Raw genomic sequence first — 16,713 nt, 5'->3', positions numbered from 1 at the left:
GTGCCAAACCATTGGCATAACTGGTGAGCTTGGTAGAGCCTAGTACCTCAGACTTTATTTCAGATCTCCTGAAAAAATAATCTGCCTTAATAAGATGTCCAGTTTATTGTACACATTAAAATTTGAGTGGTACCGTCTAACTCAACATGTCTATTTTGTCTGAAATATATAAACTATGTCTTTTTCTTCTGAAAAATATACACAACTAATTCTCTATTATGTAAATATAGCACTCAAAAATGTACATGTTCGTGATATGCCCTCAATTTTACACTTTTGTCATTCAGACAAGTATCACATATACACTGAGGTTGTGGATATTATGCCACTCTCTTATCTCATAGTTAGAGAATACCTTAGAAAACGTTTGTGTGTTGACAATTATTTTATTGGATAGTTTCAATCATTCTTTTAAGTCAGAACCAGTTCTATTCACTTTCTGATTTTACCTTGTGTCAAATAAAAAATTCTATTCATAGCCACTTTGTAAATATGTGTGTTTGTGTGTGTTTTCCAGGGACTGTTGACATTTAGGGATGTGGCCATAGAATTCTCTCTGGAGGAGTGGCAGTACCTGGACACTGCACAGAAGAATTTATATAGGAAGATGATGTTAGAGAACTACATAAACCTGGCCTTCCTGGGTGAGGATAACTTTAATACAAAATTCCTCAATATAAAATAAAAATTTCATTTCTCTTTGTAGAATGTTTTCTGGTACTTATGCTTTCATATTTCTGTTATCAAGAAAATCCTGGGGAGTTGTCTGTTTAGAAAAAATTTATTGAAGATGTTTCATCTTGACCTGAACTTTCCACATTCCTGAGCTGATCTGTGTCCTTCATTTTAGATTAGTGGTAATTTCAGAAGCTTAGTGGCATAAAATATTATTCACACCTTAAAATCTATCTGCTTCACCAATTTTTTTATTCAGCAGTGGCAGGCACTGAAATTAAGAACCTACAAAATTAAAATATTTTCTAAATATTTAAAAATTTCTGTTATAAATTAGTATATTGGGATAAACTTATTAGAATAATCTATTATATCCTTTTTACTGAGCACATTACTAAGTCGGTAATTGGAGAATATGAACAAAATTCATGTTAGCTATTTTTAATAAAACAGGTATTGCTTTCTCTAAGCCAGACCTGATCACCTGTCTGGAGCAAGGAAAAGAGCCCTGGAATATGAAGCGACATGAGATGGTGGATGAAACCCCAGGTAGGTGAGAGTGAATACAACAGACGACATGGATGAGAGGTCCAAAGTCAAGAAGAAAGTAAGTCTTTAAAGCGATTTGGGAAGCTGTGTTCCTAAGGAAATAGTTTCTGGGAAGCCTGAAATTGTTTAAAAATTACACTCTCACATAGGGCCATCTTCTGCTTATGCTTATAAAATCTCTAAGAATTCTACTTTCCCTTCAGTGATCTTCGTTGAAGTTTACAGTGACAGCCAAAGTACTGTTCATGGCATATAAAAGAGTGCACAATCTGACTTCTTGTTTTTGTGGACAGATACATATCTGCATAATTTTGAGATACTCTGTTAAACCATTTTATTTTGTTTTATGTTATTTTATTTTATTTGAGAGGCACCTTTGCTTTTGTTGCCAAAGTTGGAGTGCAGTGGCGCAATCTCAGCTCACTGCAACCTCTGCCTCACAGGTTCAAGTGATTCTCCTGCCTCAGCTTCCTGAGCAGCTGGGGTTACAGGCACACGCCACCACACCCGGCTAATACTTTGTATTTTTAGTAAAGATGAAGTTTCATCATGTTGGCCAGGCTGGTTTCAAACTCCTGACCTCAGGCGATCTGCCCACCTTGCCTTCCCAAAGTGCTGGGAACACAGGCGTGTGCCACCATGCCTGGCCTAAACTATTTTTAAGTTCTCTTTTTGCATCACATCTGGAATTTTGATAGGGAGTTTATTGAATCTAGAGATCACTTTGGATAATATGGCATTTTCACAATTCTTATTCTTTCAATAGAAATAAAATATTTTTAAATTTATTTGTTTCCTAATTTTTTTATTGATATATCTTTCATTTAAAAGATTTATGAGCTCTTGGCCTGGCTTGGTGGCTCACTCCTGTAATTCCAGCACTTTGGGAGGCCGAGGCGGGTGGATCATGAGATCAGGAGTTCAAGACCAGTGAGATGGTGAAACCCCGTCTCTACTAAAAATACAAAAATTAGCTGGGCATGGTGGCGGGCACCTGTAATCCCAGCTACTCAGGAGGCTGACGAAGGAGAATTGCTTGATCCCGGGAGGTGGAGGTTGCAGTGAGCCGAGATTATGCCACTGCACTCCAGCTTGGGTGACAGAGCAAGACTCTTGTCTCAAAAAAAAAAAAAGATTTATGAGCTGCTTAATTAAATTTGTTCTAAAATGGATTATTTTATGCTATCATAAATAAGATTGTTTTTTCCTCTGTCAGAGAGTTTGTTTTAAGTGTATGGAATGATTACTCAGAATTGTATGTTAATTTTATATTTTGCTAATTAACTGAGTGTATTCATTAGTTTAAACAGGTTTTTATGTACTTTTTATTTTTTATATATTAATATTACATGATCTACAAACAAACGTTTTACTTACTGCACTTCAACTTCAATGACTTTAAATTTTTCTTTTGACTATTTCTTCTTTCACATGCCTTCAGTGCAATGTTAAAATAGAAGCATTGACAATAAGAAACAATAGTTTTGCATTGGTGTGTGTAAATTTGAAGGAGCAAACACCTCTTCAGGATTTTATAAACTGGTTTCAGAAAGGAAAAATCTATTTTTATTAGGCCACCAGAGTGATAGAATGCCTCTGGGTTTGTAGTGAAGAGGGGTTTTAGGTTGGTTTTAAGCCTTCTGGATTTGCACAAGAATCCATTTAAGTGGTCTTGTTAAAAGGGGCTTGGATAGTTGTAATTCTCATTTAATTTTTGGACAGAGTGAATATCCTTCAGGACTTAGGTGCTCTGCAGGGCAAACCCAAGGGCAGGTTTCTGCAGTCAGGCCTGCATATGGTGGGCTTTATATCAGGATGTGGATGAGCATGGCTTTCACCAAGTACAAGAGAGAATTTTCCCAGGTCACTTTGGGTTTCTACATGGGCAGAACCGGCCATGAACTGTGGCTCAGGGAGCTGGAACTGCATCATGGAACTGCTTCAGGGACCACAGTAAAGGCAAAGGTCTGTAGGCCTACTGCATGGCTATAAATGCAGGTCTTCCTCCAGGCCTCTGGAAGGGCAAGACCTCCCCCAGACTATGGCTGGGAAGAGTTTGGGATTGTTACAGAGTAAGTTTAAAATTCTCAGTGGAACCAAGTTAGGTGGAACGTTTTCTTGTCTGTAGCCAAAAACAGTAGTCCTGTAGTTTGCCACCTGAATGAGGGCCTGTCTTCTAAACAGAATTACCTTCAGTCTTGGGCTTCAGCAGAGTTTCACAGCTCCCTTCCTGGATCTCAGAGCTCTTTTAAAAGCACTTATTTTTGAAATGGGGGTCTTCCTACATAACCCAGAAAGGTCTTAATATTTTGACTGCAGGCAATTCTCCTACTTTATTTTGCCACGTAGTTGTCATTACAGGTGTGAACCATGATGCCTGGTTCTCTCATAAAGGCGTTTTTATCAGGAATGGCTGACAAATTTTCTTGCTTTCAGGGGATAAGCAAGTAGGGCACCTTTTTAAAAAAATCTTATTAATGTCACTCTCCATATACATTTTTACTTTCTATTTTCTACTTCAAATTTGTCTGTAATTTTAGATTCAGAAATTTAGGGTACTATACTAGAATTTACATGTTGTGCCTGAATTAAATTAGATAATTAGTGTGCAGGCAGACAAAAAGGAATTATAGAATTTTCAACAAATTTATCAGCCTATATCTAAATAATAACATAATTTATTCCCCAAATATTCATTTTATATAGGAGGCTCTGACCATATGTGTATATATATACATATATATGTGTATATATATATAAAAGCAGTGTAAGGATTTTCTTTGCTTCTAAACTTGGATTACAGTAGTTATATTTTGTTTAAAAATAGCGTATATTTAAAACGTAAAAATTGGCACTAGTTTTTTTAAATGCTTAAATCTATTAAAAGTTTCTCATTAGCATCTCCCATTTATGATTGTTCTGCATTTTCTCTGAAATTTTATTGCCATAAAATGGATGCCAGTAATTTCAAATGCCTGCCTTCCATGAATGCACAGTTACAGTCAAACATTGCAGTTATCTAGACAAATTATTTGTTAATGTACATTAATGTTGCCAACTAGATTTTATGACTAAGCATTTCTGTTATTATTGTCTTGCAGTTGTACTTGCAGTTAGTGTGCTTTTTAGTGTAAGTTTGTTAACATCAGTTTATTGTGTCTATTGCTATTATTTAAGTATTATAATTTTAGACAATTAGCAGTTGTTTGTATACTTTAAGTTAATGTAAGTTTTAATTAAAAGATAAATGAGCCATGTGTATCACAATCAAATTATATATATGTGTGTGTTTTTATCTGCAAATATGACCCCAATTTTGGCTATACCTTATCTTGTATACATTCATACATTCTTAGCTCATTTTCTTTCTTTTTTTTTTTTGGAAATGGAGTTTTGCTCTTGTTGCTGAGCCTGGAGTGCAATGCAGGATCTCGTCTCACTGCAACCTCCGCCTCCCTGGTTCAAGTGATTCTCCTGCCTCAGGCTCCTTAGTAGCTGGGATTACAGGTATATGCCACCACACCCAGATACTTTTGTATTTTTTTTTTTTTTTTAGTAAAGATGGGCTTTCTCCATGTTTGTCATGCTGGTCTGGAATTTCTGATCTCAGATGATCTGCCCACGTTGGCCACCAAAAATGCTGGGATTACAGGCATGAGCCACCTTGCCCTGCCTCTTAGCTCATTTTCAATGTTGGTTTTATCTTTTCTAAGTGAGTGGCCTTGGAAATAGTCTTATTTTCACCATGTGTTTAATGATGAATATGTATTTCCTTTGTGTGAGAGAAACACTTTTGTGATCCGAAGGTAATTTTTAAAAAGATTTATAATTCTGTATTTTTTCCAGTTTTAAAAAAAAAAATGTTGTAAAAACACATAACATAATTTACCTTCTTAAATCTATTTAAATGTACATGTCAGGGCCAGGCATGGTGGTGGCTCACATCTGTAAAACCAGGATTTTGAGAGGCAAGGACAGGGGGATTTCTTGAACCCAAAAGTTTGAGACCAGCCTCGGCAAAATATGGAGACACCCTCTCTAATAATATTTTTTTTCTAAGAAATAGCTAGGCACGGTGGTGTGCACCTGTGGTCCCAGCTACTTGAGAGATTGAGGGGCAGGATTATTTGACCCTGGGAATCTGAGGCTGCAGTGAGCCATAATTGCGCCATTGCACACAATCTTGGGTGACAGATTGAGACCCAGTCTGAAAACAAAAACAAAAACAAAATGTATATTTTAGGCATGTCATGTATATTCACATTGTTATGCAAAAGACTTCTTGAAATTTTACATCTTGTAAAACTAAAACTCAGTATCATTAAATAACGTTTATCCATTTTACACTCTCTCCATCCCTTGAGAACCGCCCTTCCACACTCTGTTTTTATGAATGAGACTATTTTATATGTCTTAAATAAGTGAAATCATAACATCCATCATTTCATTATGGCTTATTTCAGTTGACATAATATTCTCAGAGTGTATCTTTAAATGTGAGAAGATTTTTTTTTAAGGCTGAATAATATTTCATTGTATCGAACATGTCTTCAAGGTCCTATGTTGCATATTTTAGATATAGATTCATAAATGGAATTGCTGTATTTGATAATTTATTTTTAATTATTTGAAGTACATTTATAACGTTATAAAATAATGGGTGCATCCTTATTTTCCACCGACAATCAACCCAACTAACTTTGTATTTTTAGCAGTGATGGGGTTTCACCATGTTGGTGAGGCTGGTCTTGAACTCCTGACTCATGATTTGCCCGCCTCGGCCTCCCAAAGTGCTGGGATTACAGGCTTGAGCCACCACGCGCGGCCAAGGGTTTCATTTTTATTGCATCATCGACAGGTTTGGTGTTTTTAAAAAATTGATAGTGGCCATTTAAATGAGTGTGAGGGGATTTTGTTTTTCATTCATTGTGATTTTTATGCATTTCTCTACAAATTAGTTTTGTGTGTCCTTTCAAATGTTTTGATGAAAATTTATTTCAATTATTGGCCTATTTCTAAATAAAGTTATTCAACTTTATTGTTTTGTTTGTTTGTTTTGAGATGGAGTATTGCTCTGTCGCCTAGGCTGTAACCTCCACCTCCCGGTTTCAAGTGATTCTCCCACCTCAGTCACCTGAGTAGCTGGGATAACAGGCGCATGCCACCACACCTGGCTAACTTTTGTATTTTTAGTAGAGATGGAGTTTTGCCATGTTGATCAGGCTGGTCTTGAACACCTGACCTCGTGATCTGCCTGCCTCGGCCTTTCAAAGCGCTGGGATTACAGATGTGAGCCACCGCACCTGGCTATTGTTCGGTTTTAAAAGTTGTTTATATTTTTTGAATATTGACTCCTATCACATATGATTTGTAAATATTTTCACCCATTTTCTAGGAGGCATTATCCCCCTATTAAATATTTATCTGTATTTATATGTGCAGAAATGGTGAAGTCATTATTTCTTTATAAATTATCCACTCTCAAGTATTCCTCTATATGCAAAATAATACAGTCTATAATGTTGTCTAGGTTTTCTGTTTTTTAATTGATTTTTCTATGTGAGTTTTCTATGATGGAAAATGGGGTCTTGATGTCTACAATTATTATGTTGCTATGTATTTTTTGCTTTACTTTTGTTAATATTTGCTTTATATATTTTGGAGCCTGATGTTATATATACACATACATAAAGAAAGGAAAGAAAGAAACAAAGAAAGAAAGAAAGAAAGAAAAAGAAAGAAAAAGAAGGAAAGAAGGAAAGAAGAAAAGAAAGAAAGAATAGTTATAGATTTGTGGTAAATCAATTCATTTTACTAATATATACTATCAATGTTTGTCTCACGTTAGCACTTGACTTAAAGGATATTATGTCTAATACCCAATTGTAGTTACTATTTTCATAAAATAAATTTTTTTTTCACCATGTGGTTTTCAGCCTATTTAACTCAGTGCTAAAATGAGTCCCTTGTAGGTGGCTTTTTCTTAAGCCACTAAGGCATTTTATTTTTTCTTTTTATAATTTCATTTAATTACTTGTTTATTCATTTATTTTTGAGATAGGTCTCACTCTCAACCAGGCTGGTTTGCAGTGTTGTGATCATGGCTCACAGAAGCCTCAACCTCCCAAACTCAGAAGATTCTGTCATTTCAGCCTCTCAGGTAGTTGTGTGTAGCCTCTCAGGTAGTGTGTAGCATCACACCCAGCTAGGTTTTTTGTATGTATGGTTGAGACAAAGTTTTGCCACATTGCCGAGGCTGGTCTCAAACTTCTGAGATCCAGTAATTAGCCCACCTTAACCTCCGAAAGTCCTGAGATTACATTTCTTTCTATTAAGTAGTTTAATTAATTTATATTTAAAATTATTTATTAAAATGAAGTTATTAGTTTTATTGTTATTGTTTTATGTATTCCTCAGTGGGTTTTTTAATATATTGTTTTATTGCCTTAAATTTTATTTTAATTGTGTAGTGACGTGCTTCAATTATTTTTTACATTTTGTTTTGCATAGTTTCTATAAATATTGTCTTCATAACCATCTTGTGTATTAGTCTGTTTTCATGCTGGTGATAAAGATATAACCCGAGACTGGGCAATTTACAACAGAAAGAGGTTTATTGGACTTACAGTTTCATATGACTGGGGAGACCTTACAATCATGCTGGAAGGTGAAAGGCATGTCTCACCTGGTTGGCAGACAAGAAAGAGAGCTTGTGGAGGAAAACTCTGCCTTATAAAGCCATCAGATTTCATGAGACTTATTTACTGTCGTGAGATCAGCACAGAAAAGACCTGCCCCCATGATTCAATTACCTTCCACCACTTTCCTCCCACAACATGTGGGAATTAAAGATGAGACTTGAGTTGGGACATGGCCAAACCATATCATCTTAAAAAATGGAGTTTACATGAAACATCTTAAAATTAAAACAATATATTTAAATCTCATGACAACTTAAATTGAATATAAAAATTTTACCTCTATATTTTTCAGTTTGTTATTAATATTAAAAATTATTTTATATTGTATATTAACATTTATGCCGGTTTTTCTGTTTTAAATACTCTACAGAATAGCTTTAAGACTTGTATACATCATCATTATGATAGTAAAGAGTTCTATATTTGTATATTTGCATTTAATAGAGCGCTCTGTTTTATGTATGGTTTTATGATGCTGTCCAGTATTTTATTTTTAAACAAAATTGACTCATTTTAGCATTTTTTTGGTTATATGCAGAGTCTCCCTGGATTACTCAGCGTGATCTGAAACTCCTGGTCTCTAGTGTTCTGACAGCCTTGGCCTCCTAAAACTATAAGATTACAGTCATGAGCCCACAGTGCCTGCCCCCATGTAGCATTTTTTCATAAAACTGTGCTAGTGGTGATGAACACCCTCATCCTTTATCTTGGATTTTTTTATTTTCATCTTCTTTTTAAAGTAAAATAAATTTAAATCAAATATTATTGGTTAGAATTTTTTCTTTTATTACGTCAAAATGTGGAAAGTTCTCACCCTTTTTTATCTTCAAGTAACCTCTATTATTTTTTTCTCATATTCTTCTTCCTTAATGAATATATTGATCTAGTTGATGGTATCTAATAAGTTTTACATTCCATGTTTTAATTTTATTTTGCAATTTTATATTTTTGTATATAAAATATATATATGTATTTGAGGGTATGTCACAACACATCTGTTAATTGTGTTTTGATTTTTTAGTATATATTCTAATTGTGCATGCCAATATTTAACTTTGTACAATTTAAGACATTGTGGAGCAAAATCATATATGAATTAGCCATATGTCTTTTCCAATAGAATTATCTCTATTTGCCTGGAAAAATGTTATCCTTGTTTTTTTTTATAACTTGTATATTTGTTGTGAAGGTTTGTTGTGAATAGTTTTTTAATCCTGTGTAGATGAGAAGTCATGAAATTCTTGTAATTTCAACATCCTATTAATTTGTGAATATATGTGATTTTTGCATGGGAGAAACACATTTGGTTTTGAATATAATTTAAAACTATCATAACTATGTATCTTTTAGGTATTATTGTTTATTTTTACTTGTCAATAAAACATAACAAAATTTACCACAAAATATTTTTAAATATTCAGTTTATCGTGACATTGTCATGGAACATATTGCTAAAACATTTTTATCTTGTAAAGCTAAATCTTAATACATATTAAACAACTACTAATTTTTCCATTGTCTACCAAATTTTCCAGAGTCTTGCTCTGTCACCCATACTGGAGAGCAGTGGCACGATCTCAGCTCACTGCAACGTCCACCTTCCAGGTTCAAGCAATTTTAGTGCCTCAGCTTCCTGAGTAGCTGGGATTACAGGTGCCAACTGCCATGCCTGGCTAATTTTTGCATTTTTAGTAGACGTAGTTTTGCTATGTTGGCCAGGCTGGTTTCAAACTCCTGAGCTTAGGTGATCCACCTGCCTTGGCCTCCCAAAGTGCTGAAATTACAGGTGTGAGCCACCATGCCTGGCCCCAGTTTTTTCTGTTTTATGGCACTTTTCAAATATCACTCTGTTCTTTGTTTCTAAAAGTGTAACTCCTTCATATATCTCATACAGTCTCTTTTTGTGGCTGACTCATTTCATTTTGCATAATGCAATCAAGATTTATATTTATAGTTGGCAGAATATTTCCTTCTTTTTGAATACTGAGTGATATTCCAGAATTTTTTTTCGTTTTTCTATTTCATTTTTTAGATGGAGTTTCCCCCTTGTTGCCCAGGCTGTAGTGTAATGGCATGATCTTGGCTCACCGCAACCTCTGCCTCCCAGGTTCAAGCGATTCTACTGCCTCATCCCCCCAAGTACCTGGGATTACAAGCATGTGTCTCGACGCCTCGCTAATTTTGTATTATTAGTAGAGACTAGGTTTCTCCATGTTGGTCAGGCTGGTCTTGAACTCTCAGTCTCAGGTAATCAGCCCGCCTCACCCTCTCAAAGTGCTGGGATTACAGGCTTGAGCCACCACACCTGGCCTCACAATTTTTATATTTCAAATTACATCTGCTGAATGATTTGGTGAAAGAAATTTGGGTTGCTTTCACCTGTTGGCTTACAGTAACAATGCTGCAATAATTATGAGTATGTAAATGACTCCTTATATGACCATATATGTGAAAGTTTATATGTGTGCTGCATTCTATTTTATGTCTACTTTTTTACCTTTATACTAATAGCAAATCATTTTAATTCTGTAGCTTTGTAATGTATTTTGAATTAAGAACTTAAATGCCTCCAGCATTTTTTTCTTTTTTTTGAAGATTGTTGGGCACTTTATAGTCTCTTGGGATTCTATATACTTTTGGGGTTGTTGTTTCTATTTCTTCAAAAATGCAATGAGAAATTTGGAAAACATTGCATTAAATATGTAAATTGCATTGAGCACAATGGACCTCTTCACAATTTAACTATTTCAACTTTTGTGTAAGAGCACACTTAAGAGTGTTTTGTTTAATTTCTGTGTATTTGTAAATTTTTCATTTTTGTTCTCATCATAGTATACTCTCATATCATTTTGGTCATAGAAAGTAGTTCATGGAATTTTACCTTTAAAAATGTTGGTAAGACTTCCTTTGTGGCCTAAGATGTGGTCTATCAAGGAAAATGTTATATGAGCTATTGAGAAGGGTATGTATTCTGATGTTGTTGAGGAATGTTCTCCATCACTCTGTTCGGAATAATTGTTTTATACTGCCTTTAAGTAGTCTATTCCCTTATTAACATTCTTGTTTTATTTTTGTTACAGAAAGTGTGGTATTAAAATATCTTTCTATAATAATACTGCTTTCTTTGTGTTTCTTCCATTCTGTCAATATTGGCTTTATATATTTGGAACACTAATGTGAGACACATACACACACACACACTCACACACACACAGAGAAATTTGTAATAGGTTCCCAGTTAATGAATCGATTATTTTTTGATGTTCTTCTTTGTTTCTTTGGAGTTTTAATTTCAAGTACATTTTATAAAATATTATACTTTTTGACTTAAGATGGAGCTTGTGTATGATTATTTTGACTGTTTATGCTGTCCTCTGATTAATGTTTGCATGGAATGTCTACTTCCAGTCTTTTTTAACCATTAAATTTCTTTTCTGAGATGGAGTTTTGTTCTTTCACCCAGGTGGGAGTGCAGTGGCATGATCTCGGCTCACTGCAACCTTTGCCTCCTGGGTTCAAGTGATTCTCCTGCCTTAGCCTTCTGAGTAGCTGGGACTACAAGCATCTGCCACCACGCCTGGCTAATTTTTGCATTTTTAGTAGAGACGGGGTTTCACCATGTTGGCCAGGGTGGTCTCAATCTCTTGACCTTGTGATCCACCTGCCTCGGCCTCCCGAAGTGCTGGGATTACTGGCATGAACCACAGCACCCAACCTCTTTTGTGTATTTATACGAATATGTTTGTGGTACTTTGGGGATTACATATAACCTCTGAAAAATACAACAATATATTTTAATCTGGTAAAAAAATAAGTTGCATACAAAAATTCTTTTTCATCTTCCCTCAAGTTTCATTGACATTGCTAGTTATGTCTTTTTGTGTTGTATATTCATTAACAGATATTTATAATTATTTCTATACTTTTTTCTTTCAAATTTCAGAGAATAATTAGAAATGTTTTTTGCACCACTAGGATAATGCTCAGAAATTCTAATTTTGTTTATTTGTGTATGTTTTCCAGAAAATTATTTTTGTATGATTATGTGGTGTTTTTTTGAATCATGTTATTTTCAGTAAAATATTTTCAGCACCCTTTATATGTAGGACATAAGCAGTACCAATATACTTTTTTAAAACTTGTTTATTTTGGAAAGTTTCTATATTTTTATTTGGCAGAACAGATTCACTGATGGTATTATTCTCACTTAATAGCTGCTTTTTCTCACAACTTTTTTATGACTACATCACACAGTTCCCTTATGGCCTGCAAAATTTTTGTTAACTCTTCACAGATTATCTCGTAAGACTGTGTTTGTAAATGGCACATCACTGTTTCCTTTTAATTTTTATTTTTTGGAGACAGAGCCTCACTCTATCCTCCCGACATGCTGGAGTGTACTGGTGCAACCTCAGCTAACTGCAACCTCCACCTCCCAGGTTCAAGCGATTCTCCAGCCTCAGCCTCCTGAGTAGCTAGGATTACAGGCACACACTTCCACACCCAGCTAAATTTTGTAGTTTTAGTAGAGATGGGGATTCGCCATGCTGGCCAGGCTGCCCTTTCTAAAGGCATTATGTTACAGTGAGAAGCAGGAAAAGCTGTGTTGGGTAAATTTATCAGACTTCTCTTTTTCTTCTATGTGGTTTTTCACATTGTGCTCATCTGGGACACTGCACACAACTCATTTATAAATTTTCCACAGATGTATTTTGGTCTCTATATTTTTGTTACATTTGTATGTCTGTGAAAGAATTAGGGCCTGTGGTATTTTGCAAAGCCATTTTATTTATGTAGATGGTATAAATTTATAGGTAAGATTTTTAAACTATATTCATGTGAGTCTAGTAAGTGGAGTAATTTATAAAAATTTTTTTTCAGTTATACATTCTCATGTTGCTCAAGACCTTTGGCCAGAACAGGGTATGGAAGATTCTTTTCAAAAAGTAATACCAAGAAGATATGAAAAATGTGGACATCAGAATTTACAGTTAAGAAAAGGCTCAAAGTGTGGATGAGCTTAAGGTGCACAAAGAAGGTTATAATGGACTTAACCTGTGTTACACAACTACCCAGAGCAAAGTATTTCAATGCGGTAAATGTTTGAAAGTCTTTTATAAATTTGTAAATTCAAACAGACATAAGACACACTGGAAGGAAACCTTTCAAATGTAAAAAAATGTGTCAAATCATTTTGCATGCTTTCACACAAAACCCAGCATAAAAGCATTTATACTACAGAGAAGTCCTACAAATGTAAAGAACGTGGAAAAATCTTTAATTGGTCTTCAACCCTTACTAATCATAAGAAAATTCATACTGAAGAAAAACCCTACAAATGTGAAGAATATAGAAAAGCTTTTAGTCTATCCTCAAATCTTACTACACATAAGATAATTCATATTGGAGAGAAACCTTATAAGTGTGAAGAATGTGGCAAAACGTTTAACAAATCCTTAACCCTAACCATATATAAGAGGATGCACACTGAAGAGAAACTCTACAAATGTAAAGAATGTGGCAAAGCATATGTATGGTCCTCAAACCTAACTAAACATAAGAGGATGCACGCTGGAGAGAAACCCTACAAATGTGAAGAATGTGGCAAAGCTTTTAGCCAATCCTCAACCCTTACTACACATAAGATAATTCGTACTGGAGAGAAACGCTACAAATGTGAAGAATGTGGCAAAGCATATGTATGGTCCTCAACCCTAACTAAACATAAGAGAATGCACACTGCAGAGAAACCCTATAAATGCGAAGTATGTGGCAAAACTTTTCATCGATTCTCAAATCTTAGTGCACATAAGATAATCCATACTGGAGAGAAACCTTACAAGTGTGAAGAATGTGGCAAAGCATTTATATGGTCCTCAACCCTTACTGAATATAAGAAAATTCATACTAGAGAGAAACCCTACAAATGTGAAGAATGTGGCAAAGCATTTAGCCGATCTTCAACCCTAACTATACATAAGAGGATGCATACTAGAGAGAAACTCTACAAATGTGAAGAGTATGGCAAAGCTTTTAGACAATCCTCAACCCTTACTGCACATAAGATGATTCATACTGGAGAGAAACCCTACAAATGTGAAGAATGTGGCAAAGCCTTTAACTCGTCCTCAACTCTTACTAAACATAAGATAATCCATACTGAAGAGAAACCCTACAAATGTGAAAAATGTGGCAAAAGCTTTAACCAGTCTTCAATCCTTACTAACCATAAGATAATTCATACTGGAGAGAAACCTTACAAGTGTGAAGAATGTGGCAAAGCTTTTAATCGTTACTCAAATCTTACGAAACATACAATTGTTCATACTGGAGAGAAACCCTACCAATGTGAAGAATGTGGCAAAGCCTTTAAATGGTCCTCAAATCTAACTAAACATAAGATAATTCATACTGAAGAGAAACCCTACAAATGTGAAGAATGTGGCAAAACCTTTAACCAGTCTTCAATTCTTACTAACCATAAGAAAATTCATACTGTAGAGAAACCCTGATAATATGAATAATGTGGCAAATCTTTTAACTTATCTTCAACTTTTAATAAACATTGAGGTAGTTTATACTGGAGTAAAACCCTACAAATGTGAAGAATGTGGGAAAGCCTTTTTCTCATCCTCATCCCTAACTACACATAAGAAAATTCATACTGGACAGCAACCCTACAAATGGAAAAAATTTGGCAAAGCCTTTAACCAGTCCTCACTTATTACTACAGATAAGTCATATTGGAGAAAAATCTTACAAGTGTTAATAATATGGAAAGCCTAAAAAAGTCCTCAATTCTTAACAGACATAAGATTATTCATATTGGAGAGAAACTCTACAAACCTGAAAGAAAAGACAATGCTTTTGACAACACCTCAAACTTTTCTAAACATAAAAACATGTTGCCAACAAATTCTAGAAATGTGAAGAATGTGACAAAGCCTTTAAATGATTGTCACGCTTGATTATAGATAAGATAATTCATGCTGAGAAAATTGACGGTGTGAACAATGTGGCCAAGCTTCTAACCAATGCTCACATCTTATTGCACTGTAAAGCATTTATACTTGAGAACCAATGTACAAATATTGACAAAAAAGCCATTAATACCTGCTCAAATCTTACTCAAAATCAGAATTCATACTAAATAAAAGCATTAAAAGTTTAATTACTATCAAAAGATCTATCAGAAAATATGTCTATAAAGTGCAGAAGAGTATTTATTTTGAAAAAGCATTACCAATATGAAGAGGGTTGTAATATCTTTGCTTGTATCACAGATCGTATTGTACACATTTTGTACTAGAGGAAAATCTTGAGGCAGTTGTTAAAATTTTGTTCAACATCAAGGAGTTTATACTGAAGAAAACCCTGCCAATGTAATAAATTTGGAAAAACATTTTTTTCAAAAACTGCAAATTATAAAACACCAAAGAGTTTATACTAAAATGTATTTTTGCAGATGCATTAAATATGAAAGATATTCAGTCCAAAGTTAGTTAGTTCTATGTAACTATCAGGGAATCATTCACAGTAGAAATATCTAGGACACTCAAACTTTAGACATTATACTAAATCAGAATGCTGAGTATAAAAAATACAGACTAAAGTTCATATAAACATTATTTGTATATAACTTTAAAAAAAAATTTTGGAGAGATGTAATTACACTCAAAGTATACTTTTTGTGAAAATATGGAATTTTTAAAAAGTGAATAATAATGGAATTAATGTCTTAAATTACTTCATGCTGTTTCATCATTCCTGGTGTATTCACATGTGAAAATATGTGACTAAACATTGCTGAATAAAAGATACGAAAGATTCTTTTTTTTAGGTAGGTGTTATTTATGACCTTTTCTATGGAAGGGTAAGGACATTATAATGTAGGATTCATGATGAAAATTTAAGTAGAGAGGCTCTTTGTGGTTAACTTATAACATTGAGTGATGTATGAGGTAGGTGTTCAGAGTAATCTGCATTATTAGGAAAGAAAAACTTTTAAATTTTGTTTAAGTTAGTATGTTATCTTATTAATTGTACTTTTATGGAATAATATTAATTATACTTTTAAATTATAAATTTTATGTCAACTTTCCATTTAAACATTTTTAACAGTTTAAATACTGTCATGAATTCATTGAAGTGTTATGCCACTAACTTTAGCCTATTACACCTTACTCAAGGGTGTAGGTAAAAGATGGTAACAATATATTATTTGGTAAGATAATGGACTGAAATCTCTAGTAATCTTTTTTGCCAGTGGCTTTAAATTGTCAATAAGTTACAGAATATTGTTCCTATAGGTGAAACTTTTATTCTTATTTTCACGTTTAAATTTATTTTTCTTAATTTTTGTGGATACATAATATGTGTATATGCATATGCCATATATGGCATATTTTGATACAGGCATGCAATATGTAATCATATTAGAGGAAAATAGTTATCCATTACCTGTAGCATTTATTCTTTGTATTACAAGCAATTCATTTCTTCAAATAACTAACTAGTTTTAGTTATTTTTAAATGTACAATTAAATTGTTATTGACTGCAGGATCACTTTTATGGTCATAATGAAAATTATGTAGAAACATAAGTAAAATGTGGCCTCTGCTTGCATGCACATATGGACTGTTAGTATTGATTTACAGAGTTAAATATACATCTATTAGTCTAAAGATAAATCTTAGGTGTAAATAAATTTTGGAGTAAATGTATTTGTGTTATTGTAAGTTTGAAACTATTTTTAGCAGAAAAAAGCAATTTTGGAGCAAAATAAAT

General features: G+C 33.9%; 1 pseudogene; it reads left to right on the top strand.

The window, feature by feature from the left end:
- ZNF725P (zinc finger protein 725, pseudogene) lies at positions 517-16,633 on the top strand (annotated as a pseudogene).

The sequence above is a fragment of the Homo sapiens genome, chromosome 19 (assembly GCF_000001405.40).
Source record: "Homo sapiens chromosome 19, GRCh38.p14 Primary Assembly".
Taxonomy (NCBI): domain Eukaryota; kingdom Metazoa; phylum Chordata; class Mammalia; order Primates; family Hominidae; genus Homo; species Homo sapiens.
Note: the sequence above shows the minus strand (reverse complement) of the source record. Positions and strands in the feature narration are given on the sequence as shown.